Genomic DNA, 20,610 nt, shown 5'->3' on the forward strand with positions numbered 1-20,610 from the left:
TACAAGGACTATCTTGGATTCTCTGATCCTCCAACACAAATTGGGCATCTTACCATCCAATGCTACTCTCACACGAACTACCCACAAGGAGTCAGAGGCCACAGGTAGAAGGGCTCAGTACCACAAGACTGCCCTCACCCAGGGGCCACCATGAGTACTACATCCCTAGGTTACCCATGTAACCAAGTACCCCGATAGTTCTCAGAATCGGTTTTTTCTCTCTCTCTTCTTATCTCTTTCCTCTGTTTCCTCACTTCCTACTTAGCTCTTTAGTAATGCAATTATAGCCTTTTACCTCATCTTCACCAGATACTCCCTACAGCAAGTTCATCTAACTATGTGCTTAGCAATTCCAGAGCGGAACTCTCACCCACCAGGAGGTTGCCTCAAGAGACAAGACGTCAATTTATAACCCAAGGTATGCCCACTATGAAACTCTCTACACCTGGGGAGTTTTCGGCCACTTTTACAACACAGTTCAGTCCATGAAGGTACCAGCAGTCACCAGCTTGATCGCCCAGTAGATAAGACACTGAAGCAAGTACACGAACCCCTCCACCTGCTCGCTTCCTCCCCTGCAAGCCATTCATGCCAGCATGTCAGGCCCCCTTTTTTTTTTTTTTTTTTTGAGACGGAGTCTCGCTCTGTCACCCAGCCTGGAGTGCAGTGGCGCGATCTCCACTCACTGCAAGCTCCGCCTCCCGGGTTCACGCCATTCTCCTGCCTCAGCCTCCCGAGTAGCTGGGACTACAGGCGCCCGCCACCACGCCCGGCTAATTTTTTTGTATTTTTAGTAGAGACGGGGTTTCACCATGTTAGCCAGGATGGTCTCAATCTCCTGACCTCGTGATCCGCCCGCCTCGGCCTCCCAAAGTGCTGGGATTACAGGGTCAGGCCCCCTTTTAAAAGTACCCACTTTCTGCTCCAAAAGGGAAGCAAGAAGCCTGTAGTTCTTCCGCTAAGCTAGCTTTGGAATAAAAAGTCACTTTCAGCCAGGCTTGGTAGCTCACGCCTGTAATCCCAACACTTTGGGAGGCTGAGGCGGGAAGATCACTTGAGCCCAGGAGTTTGAAACCAGCCCAGAGCTGTATTCTATGGGCAAAAAAATGGATCTGGATCTATGGGCAAAATAACGAGACCTCATCTCTACAAAAAAATCAAAAAATTAGCCAGGCATAGTGGCATGTACCTGTAGTCCCAGCTACTGGCGAGGCTGAGGTGGAAGGATCACGTGAGTCCAGGAGGTGGAGGCTGCAGTGAGCCAAGATTGCACCACTGCACTCCAGCCGGGTCAACAGAGCGAGACTGTCAAAAAAAAAAAAAAGAAAGAAAAGAAAAGAAAAGCCGGGTGCGGTGGCTCAGTGGCTTACACCTGTAATCCCAACACTTTGGGAGGCCGAGGCAGGCGGATCATTTAAGGTCAAGAGTTTGAGACCAGCCTGACCAACATGGTGAAACCCTGTCTCTACTAAAAACACAAAAAATTAGCCGGGTATGGTGGCACATGCTTGTAATCTCAGGTACTCAGGAGGTTGATGCAGGAGATTCGCTTGAACCCAGGAGGCAGACGTTGCAGTGAGCCGTGACCACACCACTGCACTCCAGCCTGAGCAGAAAAATAAAATAAAATTTAAAAAAACTGTTTTATACCAGACCTTGCTCTTGTTAACTGGACTCTGCAAGTGGTGGGTGACTGAACCTGCATTTTGGGGTTAAACCCACACTTCTGTCTTGGCTACAAATTTGGGGGTTTCCACATAAGCCCTCCCACGTTCAATAATTCACTAGGTTGGCTCATAGAACCCAGGAAGACACTTATGTTTCTTTGCATATACATAAAGGTTTATCAAAAAGGATATAACTCATGAACAGTCAAATGGAAAGGATGCACCAGGCAAGAGGTGGGGGCAGGCGCACAGTTTCCAAGCCCTCCTGGAGCATGCCACCCTCCCAGCACCTCCGTGTGCTCACCAACCCAGAAGCTCGCCAAATCTCACTGTCTACTATGGAGGCTCCATTATGTAGGCATGATTGGTTAAATCATGAATCCTTCTCATCTCCCTCGAGGTCTGAAATGGAGCAGAAAGTTCTAACCCTCTAAACATGCTTTGGTCTTTGTGGTGACCAGGCTCAACCTGAAGATAACTACCCACAACAACCCCCAAGAGTGAATGATTAGCACGTGAAAGACACTCTCACCACTCAGGGGACTCCAAGGGTTTTAGGAGCTCTGTGACAGGAACCAGGGACAAAAACCAAATGTTAATTTTTTTTTATTTTATCACAGACTAAATGTACAAGTAGTGCCTATGCATATTTTATTAATCTAAAACAGTAGTGAATAATGCAAGTGCCTCCTCAGCATTGTATGGAAGTCATATGGATTCAGAGAGCCACCAGCCCCCATCCCTAGGGCAATATTCCTTCTAATGGTGATAGGTTCAAAAACGGACAAACCCTCTGGTCTCAGTGACCAGCTGTGAGCTGATCCTAGTATGAGGCTCAAAGCTTAGGAACAATACTGAGGAAAACTCTTTCCCTAGATGAGAACAAAGACACACATCATTCTGGAAACTACTGGCAGCCATCTTGCCACAAGGAGGAGAGCTGCACTGAATCCAGCTAGCAGAGGAGGCCAGAGCCAACATGGTGCTTTTCCACAGCCTACCACAAGGTCAGGACAGAAACTGACAATGAGCATGTTTAGAAATATTGACAGCAATTTGGCTGGGCGTGGTGGCTCACGCCTATAATCCCAGTACTTTGGGAGGCCGAGGCGGGCGGATCACGAGGTCAGGAGATGGAGACCATCCTGGCTAACATGGTGAAACCTCATCTCTACTAAAAATACAAAAATTGGCCGGGCGTGGTGGCAGGTGCCTGTAGTCCCAGCTACTCGGGAGGCTGAGGCAGGAGAATGGCATGAACCCGGGAGGCGGAGCCTGCAGTGAGCCGAAGCCTGCAGTGAGCCGAGATCGCGCCACTGCACTCCAGCCTGGGCGACAGAGTGAGACAACGTCTAAAAACAAAAAAAAAAAGAAAAAGAAATATTGACAGCAATTTGACAGAATAATTTTGTCTGTTGAAGCCAACATTTTTTTAATTATTTATTTATTTTTTTATTTTTTTCCTCAGACAAAGAGTCTCGCTCTGTCACCCAGGCTGGAGTGCAAGTGGCGATTCTCCTGCCTCAGCATCCTGAGTAGCTGGGATTACAGGCACCTGCCACCATGCCCAGCGAAGTCAACAATTTTAAATAATGGGCTTATATTTGTTTTTTATAACTTTGTTTTCCTAGTAATTCGTTTTCCTAGAAATTCATTTGTATTTTACAAAAGTATTGGTCTGCAATGGTATAGAAATTTAAAAAAGAAAAAGTCCCATTCCTCAGACCGCTTGAGAACTGACCTAAAGATCTACAGAGAAATAGAACCACGGCCCTGATCAAACCTAAGCCTAACTCTTAATCTCTACTCTTCAGTTAGGAAGATTACCTTTACTGTTTAAACTTAGTTGAGTGAAATTTTCTGTGATTTACAATAGAAAGTTTTCTACCTGATACAGGAAATGACTTGCCAGCCCACACAAAGGTAAGGAAGAGGACAGAAAGGAAGGAAAGGTAAGGAAGAGGACAGAGAAGTGGCTGGATGCAGTGGCTCATGCCTGTAATCCCAGCACTTTGGGAGGCTGAGGTGGGCGGATCACAAGGTCAAGAGATCGAGACCATCCTGGCCAAGGTAGTGAGACCCCGTCTCTACCAAAAATACAAAAATTAGCTGGGCATGGTGGCGCACACCTACAGTCCTAGCTACTCAGGAGGCTGAGGCAGGAGAATCGTTTGAACCCTGGAGGCAGAGGTTGCAGTGAGCTGAGATTGCGCCACTGCACTCCAGCTTGGCGACAGAGCAACACTCCGTCTCAAAAAAAAAAAAAAAAAAAAAAGGAAGAGGACAGAGAGGAAGGAAAGGTAAGGAAGAGCACAGAGAGGGAGGTAAAGTAAGGAAGAGGTCAGAGAGGGAGGAAAAGTACAACACAGGCAAAGGTGCAGAGAATTCCAAACATTACCTAAAACTACTCTAGGAGAGACTGAAGAGGAAAAAATCCACTCAAAGACGCAAAATCAGATAAAAGCTTTTCACATCCCTGCAATTAAATGGCCACCTGGAAGGTTTCCTTCCTTCAAACAATGAACCCATGCAAACATTTCTTTGTTCCACCCATTTCAGCAACTGCCAATTTTGAACCAAATGAATTATCCTCAAGCAAATGTCACACACAGTGGGTAGTGATTTCATTTTCCTAAATGGTTGTCAAAGCTTTGCATACTAAAGCTTCCAAAAAGGAGAACTGGAAAAATGACAATTTAGAGGTGGGAAAGAAACATGAGTTATTTCAAAGCAGCAGCCTGCGATATGGTAAAATCGTTCTTCTAAAATGCCTCCATCGAACATTTTCCAAACTGTAATCATTTCAACTGCTGGCTTTCTCTGTATTTATGCTAAAATGTAGCTGATTTATTTTTATAGTATTTTACCAGAGTAAAGATCCAAAAACGAATAGGGGGGGAAAAAAGGAAAGAAAATATTACTGTAGGTTTTTTTTTTTAAGAAGATAAGATCTAGAAACAGGAACAGTTAGGAAAGAATAAAGGATGAACTTTGTGAAGAAAAATGTTGAGTAGTTTCATTTCTATTAATCTAAGAAAATCCTAAAACAGAATGAGGTTACTCTAAATTCAAAATCCGCATATAATAGTTGGAGTGCATAGACCATAGCAGGGAATACCCCCTCTAAATAATCAGTTCAAGGCAGGGAACTCCCAAGTCTTACCAAGATGGCACAGTCTCTGCTAAGTGAGGTGTTAAAATGGGTAAAGTTATCCAAAGCTTTCCTAACTGAAGTCCAGGGACATTTTCCCCAGTGGTCTGTCTGAGATTTAGAAACTATTTCTTTTTTTCTTTTTATGATGATTTTTAAAATTAATATATAATAATGTAGGCATATCCTAGGCCATCCGGAGGGCAATCTTATTATAGCCATGTAATCTCAATTCCCACATTTGCATTCATAAGCACCTACGGTGCCCCCAGACATAGTCTCAGGGTCAACATTGGCTCAAGTTTCACATCCATTTGGAAGGAAGACCAAGTTATGATGGTTACAAACAAAGAAGGGTGATATGCTCTGAGAAGCACACAACATCATCACTTCCATAATATTCTTAACAAAAATGCTTATTCAGTCATGAAGAGATAACCAAAAAATTCAAACTGAGGGGCATTCTACAATACAAAATAGCTGCCCAGTACTCTTCAGAAAAGTCAAGGTTATGAAAGACCAAGAAAGAGTAAGGAAGACTAAGGAAACAACCAAATGCAACATCTAATCCTGGATTGGATCCTAGACCAGAAAAAGAACTTTAATGGGACCTTAACTGGCAAAATTTGTATAAGGTCTACAGATGATGGTATTCTGCCAATGTTAATTTCCTGGTTTTGGTAACTGTACAATGATTATATAAGATATTAACATTTAGGAAATCTAGGTGAATAATACAGGGGAATTCTTTGTACTGTTTTTGCTACTTTTTCAAAAGCCTGATATTATTTCAAAATGAAAAATTGAAAACTATAAAGAAGTTAAAATAAGGAAGGGTATGGATCAATAAAAAGGAGGCCTAAATAACTTGAATGTGTTAACCTGTACAATATCTGATAACATCCAGTGACTCAAGTATCAGTCCCCTTGACAGGTCTGCAGGGATGGCCCTTATGGAGATCTAACCAACTCGCTACGTCAGTTTCTCCTTTGTCTTTCCATGTAGGCTTGCCTCCAGAACTCCTGTCTAGACCCCCTCCCAGCTCTTGTCTTTACTCAGCATTAACCACCTGGCACTTTAGTTACATGAGTCTCTCATGATTTAGGTTAACAAGAATCTGCTCCCCAGAGTTCAATCACTTTACACATGTGCTGAAAAATAACTGATTTCCAGATTACCATAGCTGAGAGCCAGCCCCTGGACTATAGTGATACAGAGCTACTTGCCCAGTAGGCCCTGCCCAAGGACCATTCTGCAGCCTGGAACACCTGTAAATTGTTTTGTTCCATAGCTTCCTTGCAAAGGTAACAGGTGGCTCTAACAATAATAGCAAAAAAAAAAAATGCAGTCTTCTCTAAAGCAGGGGAAGGTGTCAGAAGCCAACTTTGAATCTTGTTGAATAAACAGAATTTTGGAAGACAAAACAGGGCCAAGAACCAAACTTATGCCCAGCTCAGCAAAGGTCTAGTGACTGTTCGAGCTGAGTAACCATTTCATAAGGCTCCATGAAGACCTACCTGTATCCACTGTGACCCAGAATGAGCCTTATAAAGCATACATCTATCCATGTCTTGTCTTAAAACCCTTTAATAGGGCTGGGCGCGGTGGCTCATGCCTGTAATCCCAGCACGTTAGGAGGCCAAGGTGGGCAGAATCGCCTGAGGTCAGGAGTTCAAGACCAGTCTGGCCAACATGGTGAAACCCCATCTCTACCAAAAGTACAAAAAAATTAGCTGGGCGTGGTGGCAGCCGCCTGTAATCCCACCACGTTGGGAGGCCAAGGTGGGTGGAATCACCTGAGGTCAGGAGTTTGAGACCAGCCTGGCCAATATGGTGAAACCCCATCTCTACCAGAAGTACAAAAAAAATTAGCTGGGCATGGTGGCAGAAGCCTGTAATCCCAGCTAATCGGGAGGCTAAGGCAGTAGAATCGCTTGAACCCAAGAGGCGGAGGTTGTAGTAAGCCAAGAGCGTACTACTGCACTCCAGCCTGGGTGACAAAGCGAGACTCCATCTCGAAACAATAAATAAATAAATAACCCCTTTAAAGTTTTCCATTGCCTCTAAAACAAAGACCAAAATCCTGGTCACTGCCTGGTGCCTGGCCCCTGCCTGCTGTTCCAACACCTCATCCAGCACCCCCCGCCCCAGGCACATTCCAGTCCCTAAGCCAGCTTCGATCATTACTTCAAGGGCTTAATGCAAACCGTACCCTCATCTAGACTGTCTTCCCACCCCCATCCGCCAGCCCCCTATACATACACTTTGGCCTACGTAACTTCTACTCATCAAGATATACTCAGGTTTTGGCTTAAATATCACTTAGCTGGAAAGGCTTCTCTCACCAACCTCGGGGACTAGACGAGCACCCTTTATGTTCTCATAGCACTCTATAATTACTCTTCATAGAAACTACCACCATTTCAAATGATGATTTGTTAGGCTCTTGGTCTCCCCCACTAGATTAGGAGCATCCAGAGGGCAGGAACTAAGTGTGGTTTACAAACTCTCATACGCCAATGCCTGGTACAGTACTTTGCACTTCACGCAATGGGAGTGGGCTCTGCCCACATCCTCAGCTTGAAATGAAATCCATATGCTTGAAATAGTATGGACACAGTAAGCACTCAAGTAAGAGCTACTAAAATTATGTAAAAATGGCTTCCCTCTGACTATGCCTGAAATTTACCACTGCTTTTTCTTTCCACCTGATGGAAGGGGGAAAAGTCAGCCAGGCAAAAGATGCCAAGCTGTCATTTTTTTCAAGGATACTTTTTGACTGTCAAATCAGCTCATTTTAGGATATTGAAAAACTTCAAGTTGCAAGGTAAAACATCAAGAAAGGAAATGCTTCTAAAATTAACACACTACACTTTTTTTACTCTGAAATAAATCTATACTCATCATTAGTACATTTTCACTTCCCTCTGCAGCCTCGCTGTCATCTTCTCTTTCAAAATTCTGGTTATTACCACTACAAGGAAATTCAGACTCTTTCTCCAACACCAAAGACTCTACTAATAACTTCCATGGGAACAAAGTTCAACTGTAGCTAAAATTTCATTTGCTTAAAAAACATGAAAAACTCGCTTTTATCTCAGGTATGAACTAATAAAAGCAAGCTAAATCGCAGCTATCCTAAGTAGTCCCTGTTCACAGAAGGATTACCATTTAAAATCATAAGTTAGTTAACATAAAAATGGGGGCCTGAAATACCCAAACTGATTTTTTCAGGGTGTGTTACACTGTAACAGCAGCTAAATTCTCCTGGACCCAGGCAATATTCTCAGGCAAAGGATGAAGGAACCAAATACGGAGATTTCTTCAGAGATAACTAGACAGATTCCTATCGGCCAGGGGAGAAACTGGAGAATTCAAGAGTGTGTTAGTTCTTAGGCAGAAAACTATACTTCAGAGAAGTACCTGGCTGTAAAAAATGTCTCCACGGAAATGGCTACATTCTAGGTGCACATAACAACACTTCAGTCAACGGCAGGCTGCATATACAAGGTGGTCCCATTAGATTACAATACCATACTTCTACCATAACTTTTCTATGTTAAGATATGTTTAGATACACAAATACTTACCATTGTGTTACAATTGCCTACAGAATTGAGTAGAGTAACATGCTGTACAGGTCCATAACCTAGGAGCAATAGGCCATACCAGATAGCCTAGGTGTGTAATAAGCTATACCATCTAGGCTTGTGTAAGTACACTCTACAACGTTCGCACAACTATGAAATCGCCTAACATGTTTCTCAGAAGATATCCCCACCACTAAGTGATGCATGACTGTATAAGTATTATATGCCACAATACCCAGAAGCTACATGCAAACCCCAGTGTTAAAGATGGAGAAGAACATGATTACTTAAAAAACATGAAAAACTGACTTCTATCTCAGCTATGAACAAAAGCAAGATAAATCACAGCTAACCTAGGTAGTCCCTGTTCACACGATTCTCGTTTAAAATCATCTTAGTTAACAGGTAACTGTGGACTGAAACACCGAAGCTGATCACTTTTTCAGGGTGTGTTAAACTGCAATAGCAGATAAATTTTCCTGGGCCCAGGCAATATACTCAGGCAAAGGACAAAAGAATCAACTACTGAGATTTCTTAAGAGATAACTAAGCAGACTTCTATTGGCCTCACAATCACGGGATTAATATAATACATACAAGCATGCACACACACATATCTGATAGTGCAGTTCCTAACCTTTTTTAAGTCAGAGAATCTCAAGAAAGCTATAAACCTGCTCCCCAGAAAAAAAATGTTTACACAAGAGAGGCTCCCTTAACTCATCTCTGCTTAACCACCCTGCCAAATTAACCGGCGCATCCTACATCAGAACATGACTGATGTTTGAGCACGCTAGCAGCTCATAACTAGTAGGAGACTCTACCTGAGCACAAGACTACTCAATGTGTGGTCTAGGTGGGTGCTAGTCTGCCAACTGTTTATTACCAGTTGCCCATGAGGTAAGTACAAAAATGGTGAGAAGGCATTTAGAAACATACAGAGCCATTAGACATGGTTGCATCACCTAAGGGCCTAAGTATCTGACTCGCTTCATTGACCAACTCCAGTGTTGCTGATCTTGTGAGGTACATGCAGCACCAGCTACCTACTAGTCAAGCTCTGAAGAACTACGTGACCACATATGATAGTTTAAGGTTAGTCAACTGCAGTACGAAAGTATTAAAATCAGGAATCCATTTCTTAACACTAAAAGTTCATTTAAATTTAAACATAAATTTACAGGATATATTGTTGGAACTGGCTACTGAAGAAGGACTGAAGATGAATTTTGACACGATAGCATCACTTACATCATTTTGGAGTAAAATTAAAAATGAATATCCTGAGCGTTCCAGAATTCCTTTAAAATGTCTTTTTTCATTCATTATCATCCACATCCCTCTATAAGATCAGTTCCTCTACCATGAGTATTATTTAAGGAAAACTAGAAATAGTTTGGATAGACATTAGCCTCAAGACAAGCTTGTCACCAACCCAGCCTAGTTAGATAGGTTAACAAGCAAGATGGGAATTCATTTGTGACATTAAAAACTCTAAATATTGATATACATAGAGTTTGGTCAAAGTATATACAGAGGAATTTAATATGAAGAATCATTATTTCACTCATAACTTTTTGCTTAGTTATAAATGGAATAAAAATTAACAAGAGTAACAGTAATTCTTTGTGAATTGCCAAGACATGTACACTTTCAAAGTACACATTTAGAAATTCTTCCCTATATTCTGTTTTTTCCAACTACATTTATTAAAATGTAACTTTATTTCTGTCGTTTTTAAAAATAAATTTAAAAAATAAGGCTTGTATTTTGTTTGTTTGTTTTTTAAGTAAAAGTACAGGTCCACAAAAGATTGGAAATAAAAAAGACTAGATTTTCATCACATACAGATTAAAAAGTAGTGATCTGCTCCCACCAATCAAGCTGTATCATTCCCTATGGTCAGATATGTTTATTCCTATTTACACCAGTTGTTCTTACAATTTAAATATATAAACACATAGTAAATTGTATATAAACACAATATTCAGAGAAATGAATGTTTTTTAATTTTTTTATTCAGATAAATTAATGTTTCAACGAAAATGAAGTTGAATGTTTGAATGATTTGGAATAATTCAATAAAAGTTAAACACTAAAATAAATGCCATGATATTAGATGTGAGGAAGAAAACAGCAAAAGACTGGAAGGCAAATCATAAAAATCTAGGATTCTACACTCAAGATATTCACAAGTATTTTAAAGTTCTTACTTTAAAGCAACCTAAACTGAAAACTGTGTAGATCATGCATCATAGGTGAAGTTTATGTACAAAACCAACATGGAAGCCACTTATCAGGACTTGGCCCCATATCAGAAATTAGCAAACATGTTTGAAATAAAATGTTTAAGACATGAATGTAACATTTTTCACATTTCTCCACCTTAAATAACTAACCAGCTGCTGGTCATGATATTCCCAGATAAGAGGGTCTACACTCTAAACACAAAATTCTGTACAGAATATTTAAGAGATTCTGGTCCCCCTGGCTCTGTTACTGAAATATAACCAGTTGGTAATAAAACACGGACAAAATAAAAACAGAAAGACTCACACCAATCACAGAAAGCATAAAGAGTCCAAAAAGAGATTCTAACCAAATAAAGAAAATGAGACCATCTGTAAAACTGCAAGCTTATTGTCTCTTTCCTAGTAACATTATATCTACACCCAATTCCCATAAAGAATGTATTTTTTTTTAGCAGTTTACAGCATTAACCAAATTAAACCAGAGCCCTCAGAGGACAAGCTGGGTTACATTAGACAGAAAGCATACTTCCAGCTTCTTCCCCCTCCCAATCCTGCTTGGCCCCCACCTACCAGCCCAAAGGTCAAAAAACAAAAGCAGAATCAAAAAGTAATATATAAAAAGTCCCTTATGAGACACTGCAAAACATTTTCTCTTACTATCACTACAAAAAATGTCAGTAATTCTGGCCGTAAACCAAAGTAATCCAAAACCATGGGTTTAGTTCAATTCTGAACTCAGACATTTTGTAGCTTATCTACACTGGCCCATAGTTTAGGATCAAAGTTTTAAGAAAAAGAAGCAAAACAAATGAAAAGCTAATGCAATGAGGGAAAATAACACAAGACAGCTTATTTCATAAAGCATTTTGGGTTAACAAAAACTAAAATTATAAGAAAAAAATTTGAGATCTTATTAATATCTAAATTGAAATAATCTGAATATGAACTCATTTTGAAAACAGCCAGAGCATGCCTTACACCTCTACTTCAGGACTTAGCTGAATTAATGCAAAATTTCACTGTCAAATATATTACACAAATGCAATTGAATGAAAATAGTGTACCAAAAAAAAAAAAAAGCATGAAAATGAGCAATGTCTAAATAGGCCATGGGGGAAACTGGGCTGATGTCCTGGGTCCTGCTCTTTGGTTCTGGCTCTGCCAATAATTAACACCATGGAAAGTGGTTGCCTTCATTTTGTGGTTCCCATCTGTGAATTCAGAGGGTCAGTTTAAGTACACACCACAGATGCTATCTGCTCTAAGACTTTTCTGCCCTAGAACTAAAATGCACAGATGATACAGAATTGAAGCTTTTCTGGGCAGTGAAAGACAGGAGGCAAACAAGATCTACCACAGTTAACAGCTCTGGACACTCACTGACTCAGCTGACAGTTATTCTGGTTATGAAACAAAGGGAAAAAATGGGGAGCTATGCAGCCCTGAAAGCAGTATCAAGAACTACCATGCTTTTCTCATTCTGCATTGTAAAATGCAAACTGTAACATAAAAAATATTTTGCTTTAAAATAGGTTTTGTTCTTAATTTTGTAATTAACAAATATTTATTTTAAAAATCAAGAGGAATGAAATATATTGAAACAAAGGGATTCACAGTGGTTATTTAAAGGTTACCTTATCTTCGTTCATACAATATTAAATTCTTTGTTTTATGAAGAGATGATAATGCAGCGATGGACACACACCTGGTCTGGGTCCAAGTCCCACCTACTAGCTGCACAGCCTGGGAAGTTTCAGTTTCCCTGTCTGTAAAATGAGGACAATATGGTTGAATAACATGGTCTCAACAGTGGTTGTTGGGAGTTAATATGAGTTAATACAGGGTAAGTATCCCTTATCCAAAATGCTTGGGACCAGAAGTGTTTCAAGTTTTAGATTTTTCATATTTGAGAATATTTGCATTATACTTACCGGTTGAGCATCCATAATCCAAAAATCTGAAATCTGAAATGCTCCAGTGAGCATTTCCTTTGAACACCATGTCAGTGCTTAAGAAGTTTCAGATTTTGGAGCACTTTGGATTTCAGATTTTCAGATTACAGATGCTCAACCTGTATATATGAAGCACTAAGTACAGGGTCTCACACGCAGAAGAACCTACGTAAGAGTTTACTAACACTTTATGCTAAACAACTTCATGTCTAACTAAAAATAGATGTTCACTAATACACCAAATGCAAACCATATAAACATCAAGACTCCAGAAAACCTTACCCACATGTATCAATATTAAACAAAACATCAAGACAATTCCAAGTAAAGAAAAATATACATATATACAGCACAGTAACTTTTTTATTCTTCCAGACTCCAATCCTTTGTCAATCTATCCTACAGGTAGCCAAATAGATTAAACTTCCTAAAGCAATGTTGTGTTTAAGTCACTCCTACTAAGGATCTTTAAAATCTCTACATACATCTACAGGAGAAGCCTCAAACCCACCCAGACTAGAATGGAGCCTCCGGTACCCTGTACTTTAAAGTACTTACAACAGTATGTAATTCTCTATTTGAGTGACTGATAAATATCTTTCTCACCCACTAGAACAAAAGCCAGGAGATAAGGTGTGTGTTTTACCCTCCACTGTACTGCCACCATCTATCACAGTGCATGGCCCGAGGCAGGTGCTCAGTAAACATTTGTTGGATGAATGAACCTCATCTTCTATCAAGGCTCACATCACCATCTAATATGGATGTCCCTTGAGGGTCTGCAAAACATTCTCTCATAAATTTTCTCATCTGACCTTCATAGTAAGCTTTTGGGGAAGAAAGCCAGAGCAGATGAGAAAACCAAGGCCCAAAAGTTCACTGAGTCACCCAAGACCACATTCTTAATAAGTGGCAAAGACCCAAGTGTGTTAACTCCTAGTCTAGGGTTCCTTTCAGAACATTCTGCTGCCTGGGTTAAATCCAATACAAATACTTGAGCCATAACCTTGTCTTGTACTTTTCTGCCTCTGCAGTTTTTACACTTCCCTTCCACCCACCCAGAACTGCCTCCTACCTCTTTTCCTACTTTTCATTCATTAAACAAATATTTATTAAGGACTGTGATTGATGGGCAAACTCTCCTTCTTCCTTGAGGGTCCACCAGTGTGTTGTATACGTGTCACGTCTATTGCACAGACATCCATTTACTCGCTCAACAAAAAGTTTTCTGTTCTACAGACATGTATTTGTTCTTTCAATACAATGACGAACACTTGCCAAGTGTCATACAGTGTGAGGTTCCAAGGAGAACTGTGTTCTAATGTTCTGAGAAACTACTGAAGTTTCTCAAAGAGAACAACAATGTAAATTAACCTGTTTTAAAACACAATACAACTGCTGCCATTCACACAGCCTGAGATGTCCGAGTACCTCAATTGGGAAGTAAATCAAACACTAACACCTAACATAAATCATATCAACATATATATCAATTTAAAAATATGTATAGATTCAATTCATCTACCGTCATGTAAAAAAATAGATTCACACAACATACACAGGTAAAGTATCCCCAGGTCTACTCTACTAAAATAGTTTTTATCTATCAGGTCTGTTAAATAGTTAACAGCCCTTCTCAAACTTGTCAGCTCAAAAGAACACACAATTAAAATGGAACAACAGATTTGGGAATCTCACGCTTCTAGATTACCAGCCCAGAACCACAACTCTAAATATAACAGCAATAAACCTGCAATAATCCTCATGAAATATAGCATCAATTAAATGCTGGTACAAGAAATGTAATGCAGAATTACTGCCGTATTAATACTCCCTGAAGATAAATCACTAAAGACTTTAAGCAAGTGAAAATCGATTCTGTGAATATTTAACACAGCTGGCTTTATTTAAAAATTCCCAAAACAGACACATACTGGCATAAAAAAGAACTACAAAGGGTTAATAACACTAGATTATATATAAATTCAGAAGTAAGGAAGACAGCTGCCTGGGAATCTTATCTTGGAAATAATATTTTAAAACCTCAGGGAAAGCAAACAAAATGGTACTTGATAACGTGTTAACTCATTAGAGAATTTAATACAAACAACATCCAACTAATCCTTCTCTTTCTTTCATACTTAAATTTCAATGCTGAATTTAAGAGACCAACATCAGATAAGACAAAAAGGGAAAGTACAGGAACAAAACAGCTCTCAGAATGGACACAAACCTGAGAAATCATTTGTCTCTGTGGGCAAAGGTTTGGGTTAGTGAAGAGCTTCCATCAGTGTAAGGCAGCATGCCTGACCCCCTCCTCGCTATCTCTTACAAGGACACAAATGCTTTTAAACACCATGGTCCTGTGAATCCCGAATAAATCAAAGTAAACCTGCATGAAGGTGGGGTTATGTGTGCTTGATTCAGGGTCCTTAAGAGTAAACTTGGCTGGACACAGTGGCTCACGTCAGTAATCCCAGCCCCATGGGAGGGGGAGACGGGAGGACTGCCTGAGTCTAGAAGTTCAAGACCAGCCTGTAAAACTTAGCTAGACCTTGTTTCTGCAAAAAAACAAACAAACAAACAAAAATTAAATTAAATTGAATTAGCCAGTCATAGTGGTGGTACATGCGTGTAGTCCCAACTACTTGATGGGGGGGCAGAGGGAGGGTGAGGCTGGAGGATCACTTGAGCCCAGGAGGTCGAGGCTGCAGTGAGCTATGATCGCACCACTACACTCCAGCCTGGGTGACAGAGTAAGACCCTGTCTCTAAAACAAAAAAACAAAAACTACTAAACAGTAAATGTGGGCACATGTTTTCTTGTGTCTTCCAGTGGACCAGAATGACCTCCCACCTTCAAGGACTCCTGATCACTTTACCTTGATTGTCTACAAGGGAATGATTTACAAATCCTACACTATGACCATCCTCAAGAGGCCTCATTAAGAAAAGCTTCTCCTGTATTAAATCCAAAGCTGTTTTCATTGTATAGTTTAATTCTACTTCCTTCCTTTTTTCCCTCTGTGAACTCAGTGGAGAAGAATGAACCCCTGAAAGAAGTCCCTTTCATCTAAAAAAAAATCACATTTGATCAAATGAATCCTATGGGTTAACAGAATAGGTGCTCTCTTCAAAAGAGCAGGAACGTCAGTGATCAAATTTAATCCCATCAATTACATTTAAAAAATCTTTTTAAGAGCTAATATGGCCTTGTAGAAACTAAACATTTAATATCTCCTTTGATTATGAAATTGCACAGGTTTTCTGAAAGCTTAAGTTCACACCTTCACCCACATTCAATTCCAAGCAGGCACAGAGTTTTTCCTAAACTGTTTCACCAAGCCATTGTGGGGAGTTGGGGAAGTTGCCAGGGGCAAGGCTACAACTCAAGGGCCCTTTTGTTTCACGCTACTCTTTCGGTTGCCTTTTTGGGTCTTCCGCTCCCTTACCTTGGATAATGGGAGACGATGAAACTCAAGTGGGTTAATTATACTTTGCTTATAACTCTTGATTTTAAGACACGTGAAAGAAGAAATTGAAACGTGCTTAAAATTGTTTTTGGATGTAAATTATCCCAAGAGCTAATTATGTATAATTTCTTCATTTTCTTTATTCATGCAAGTGAATCGCAGTAAACATCCTTTTAGGTCAAATATTTCTTCCCTTATGACTTCATGACTAATTCTATGTAAGCCTAACACACTCTTACTCCTTAAGAACTCAGTATTAATATACTATCCTGTTAGGAAGAAAGGAGCTAGAACTTGCTCGAAAGGGACTAGCATGGCCGGGCACAGTGGCTCACGCCTATAATTCCAGCACTTTGGGAGGCCGAGGAGAGTGGATCACCTGAGGTCAGGAGTTCGAGACCAGCCTGACCAACATGGAGCAACCCTGTCTCTACTAAAAATACAAAATTAGCCCGGCATGGTGGCAACATGCCTGTAATCCCAGCTACTCAGGAGGCTGAGGCAGAAGAATCGCTTGAACCTGGGAGGTGGAGATTGCGGTGAGTCGAGATCACGCCATTGCACCAGCCTGGGCAACAAGAGTGAAACTGTCTCAAAAAAAAAAAAAAAAAAAGAAAAAGAAAAAAGAAAGGGACTACCATAACATACTTTGGCATGAAGCCATCTTTACTCTGTAGAGTTAAATAACCTTGTAACAGAAAAGGAGGCGTGAGAAGTACCTAACTTCCCTTCTAAGAAGGTCACATAAAGATCTTTCCATCTCTAGCATCCTAGTGACTCCGCATCTCCAGGATAAACAAGGGAGAGACAGTTGTAAAGTCAAGGGCTGTCTATATTTACAGTCTCCATTTCTCTCCTCCCATTAAGCTCACTCCAATTAGGCTTTCATTCCTACCATTCTATCAAAACTGCTTGTCAAGATCACCAATGACCTCCATGTTGCCAAAGCCAATGGTCAATTTGAACCTTCATTCTACTGAATGATTACTCTAATTGCGAACATTCAGTACCTGCCTTCTTGGTGATCTCACCAAGGTAACCTTGGTTAATCTCACAGCTTCAAACACCTTCTACAAATTCATGATTTATAAATCACATCTCCAGTATTGGTGGTATAGTGGTGAACATAGCTGCCTTTCAAATCACATTTCCAGCTGAAACTTCTTTGAACTCTGGATTCCAGAATCTCTCATATATCCAACTGCCTATTCAATATCATCACATGAATAGCTATATTAATCTGTTTTCACACTGCTATGAAGAACTGCCTGAGACTGGGTAATTTATAAAGGAAAGACATTTAATTGACTCACAGATCAGCATGGCTGGGAGGCCTCAGGAAACTTACAATCATGGCAGAAGGTGAAGGGGAAGCAAGGCGCCTTCCTCACAAGGCAGCAGGAAGGAGAAGTGCCAAGCCAAGGGGGAAGAGCCCCTTATAAAACCATCAGATATTGTGAGAACTCACTGACTACCATTAGAACAGCATGGGGAAACCACCCCCATGATTCAATTACCTCTACCTACTTTCTCCCTTGACATGTGGGAATTATGGGGAATACAATTCAAGATGAGATTTGGGTGGGGTCACAAAGCCTAACCATACCAATGTCTAAGAAGCATCAGAAACCTAAGTCCTAAATCAAACTCCTAATGGTACCTCCAAACTGGCTTCTTCCAAGACCTTGCCCATCTCAGTAAATGGCAATTCCATTCTTGCAGTTGCCCAGGAGAGCCATCCTTGTCTATGCTTACATTCTCTTTCTCTCTCTCTCAGTCCATATCTAATTTATAAGGAAATTCTGTCAGCTGTACCTTATATCTGGAACCTGTCCACACCACCGCCCTCTCTAGCACCCTGGCCCAGCAATCACCATTGTCTCGCCTGGCTTTTTACAATGACTCTGCTTCCTCCTTTCATTCTATTCTCCACAAAACAGTGATCCTTTATAAACCTAAGTTGGATTGCATCATTCCTCTGCTCAAAACCCATTGACGGCTTTCCACCTGTTACAGGTTGAACTGTGTCCCTCAAAAATTCATATGTTACACTCTTAACCTCCAGTACCACAGAATGTGATCGTATTCAGAAATAATGTCATTGCAGATGTAATTAGTTAAGATGAGGTCATTTAGGTGGGCCCCAATTCCAATATGAATGATGTCCTTATAAAAAGGGAAAATTTGGACACAGAGACACATACATAGGGAGAACACCATGTGAAGATGAAGGCAGAGATCTATAAGCCAAGGAATGCCACATATTGCCAGGAAACCACCAAGAGCTAGGAGAGAGGGATGGAACAGATTCTCTTTCTCTCATGATCTTCAGAAGGAACCAACTCTACCAATAACCTGAGTCAGACTTCCAGCCTCCAGAACTGTAAAACAATAATTTGTGTTGTTTAAGCCAGTTGTCCCCAACCTTTTTGGCACCAAGAAGTTGTTTCATGGAAGACAATTTTTCTATGGACTGGGGGAGTTGCAGGGGGTGGGAGGGGGCGGTTCATGATGATTCAAGCGCACTACAGTTATTGTGCACTTTATTTCTATTATTATTTCATTGTAATTTATAATGAAATAATTATACAACTCATCACAATGTAGAATCAGTGGGAGCCCTGAGCTTGTTTTCCTGCAACTAGATGGTCCCATCTGGGAGTGATGGGAGACAGCGACAGATCATCAGGCATTAGATTCCCATAAAGAGCGTACAACCTAGATCCCTCACATGTGCAGTTCACAATAGGATTCGTGCTCCTTAGAGAATCTAAGGCCACCACTGATCTGACAGGGGGCAGAGCTCAGGTGGTAATGAGAGCCATGGGGAGCGGCTGTAAATACATATGAAGCTTCATTCGCTGGCCTGCCACTCTCCTCTTGCTGTGTGGCCCAGTTGCTAACAGGCCACAGACCAGTATCCCTGGCTGGGGGTAGAAGACCCCTGGGTTAAGCCACCCAGTTTATAGTAGTTTGTTACAGCAGCCCTAGCAAAGTAATACACCACCTCATAAAGGATAAAAGGCAATGGCCAAAAGACCCTACATGCTCATACCCTAGCTCACACACTGGCCCCCTTATTGTTCCTCCAACAGGCCAGGCTCATGTCTAGCCTTTGCTCTAGCTCTTCCCTGGGCTTAGACCACTCTGCCCCAGAGCCCTTAATTCCTTTAGACCTCTGTTTAAATAGCTCCTTAAGGCCTTCTCCTCCCTCCAACACTGTCTGTCCCCCTCATCCACTTTATTTTTCTCCATTGTGTGTCACCACCAGGTACTTTAAGTACTTATTGTGGCAGACTGGGAGATGCATTGCTAGATCCCCCAATAAAGAAAGAACTTGCTGAGCAAATGCAGGTAAACAGCGTCCATGACTCAGTTCCTTGGGGTCAGCCTTGGCTACAGAGTGCAGCCTCACCTGCCTGAGGTCACATCCTTCCCAGGGTAGTCCACACCTCTGTGTGGGACACTCTGAGAGGTGACATTCACTGCAGAGCTCTCTGGAAGGTTGGCAGAGACTCCGCCAAACCTGCATCACAGCTCAGCTTCTTCCCCTGCACAATTCTCCTTCCACCTCCTGTTCACAGGAATTGATCGCAAATAAACATCCTGCTTCCCAAACTCCATTTCAGCGTCCGCCTGTGGAGAATCCAACCTGAGACACTTATCTATCTCCCTTCACTAGAGTGTAATCTTACTGAGGGCAGGAACTTTGTTTCATTGTATCCCCAAAGCCTAAAATGGCACCTCGCAGGAAAGGAGAAATGATTGAATGGAAATATATGGATGGATGAAGGAGAGCAGAAAGAAGAAAGGGCAATAAGTATTTGGATAGATGACTGGCCCCTGGATACAACAAAAGCATCTTAATATGGTTATTATGTATCACAAAGCAAAAGGAATACACAGCATTACAATGAAGCTGTGTGAGGTTTCTAAAATGCACATTGCTATTGATTTCAGAGAATCTTAAAAACAATGTGTACTAAGTTTTCCTAAGGTTCACTTCTTCTCTTGATGCCCATGACCTTTCCCCCTAAGATTTCAAATTTCACAACCACAAGATCTACCATAAAGAGGGTTTCAGGACCCTAACCTTTAAGGTAGGGAATATGCTGTATAGTAACTGTTCAATCACTCTGTGACACCTTTATGTAATTCTTAACTCCCATTTCAAAGAAAACTCTGCTCTGCACATTATCATTATAAATAGTTTATTATAGCTTTTCTTCTTTATTGACTATGTCAAATAAAATAGTATTTTTTTCATTCAAAATAGTATTTCTTTCTTTCTCAGAGAATTGGCCTTCACTTTATTGCAACATCTTAATTGCATTTGGCTCTGGAAAGTGATTTAAAATAGATTTTCCATGCCCTATAACCGGCTAGTCATTTAGACCAAATAAAGCTGATTTCTACCTGGTCACGTACTTCATGCCAATTCCATCAGAATGTGTTAAGCCTGACTATAAAGTAATAGAGCTGAGGAGTGTTGTGTGTGTTTGGTTTAGAATCACTTTCATTTCTT

The 20,610-nt window shown here is 40.9% G+C and overlaps 1 protein-coding gene across 48 annotated transcripts in view; it reads right to left on the reverse strand.

Annotated features, from left to right (window-relative positions):
* APBB2 (amyloid beta precursor protein binding family B member 2) overlaps positions 1 to 20,610 on the reverse strand; it is a 404,516-nt gene that overhangs the window by 355,237 nt on the left and 28,669 nt on the right. For 11 of the 48 annotated variants that reach the window (XM_047450163.1, XM_047450168.1, XM_047450174.1 and 8 more), the window contains exon 2: positions 12,367 to 12,427. The exons of the other annotated variants lie outside the window; for them this stretch is intronic. The gene's annotated coding sequence lies outside the window, so the exon portion shown is untranslated. The remainder of the gene's footprint in view (positions 1 to 12,366; positions 12,428 to 20,610) is intronic. 48 annotated transcript variants of the gene reach the window in all.

This window comes from Homo sapiens, chromosome 4, assembly GCF_000001405.40.
Source record: "Homo sapiens chromosome 4, GRCh38.p14 Primary Assembly".
Lineage (NCBI taxonomy): Eukaryota > Metazoa > Chordata > Mammalia > Primates > Hominidae > Homo > Homo sapiens.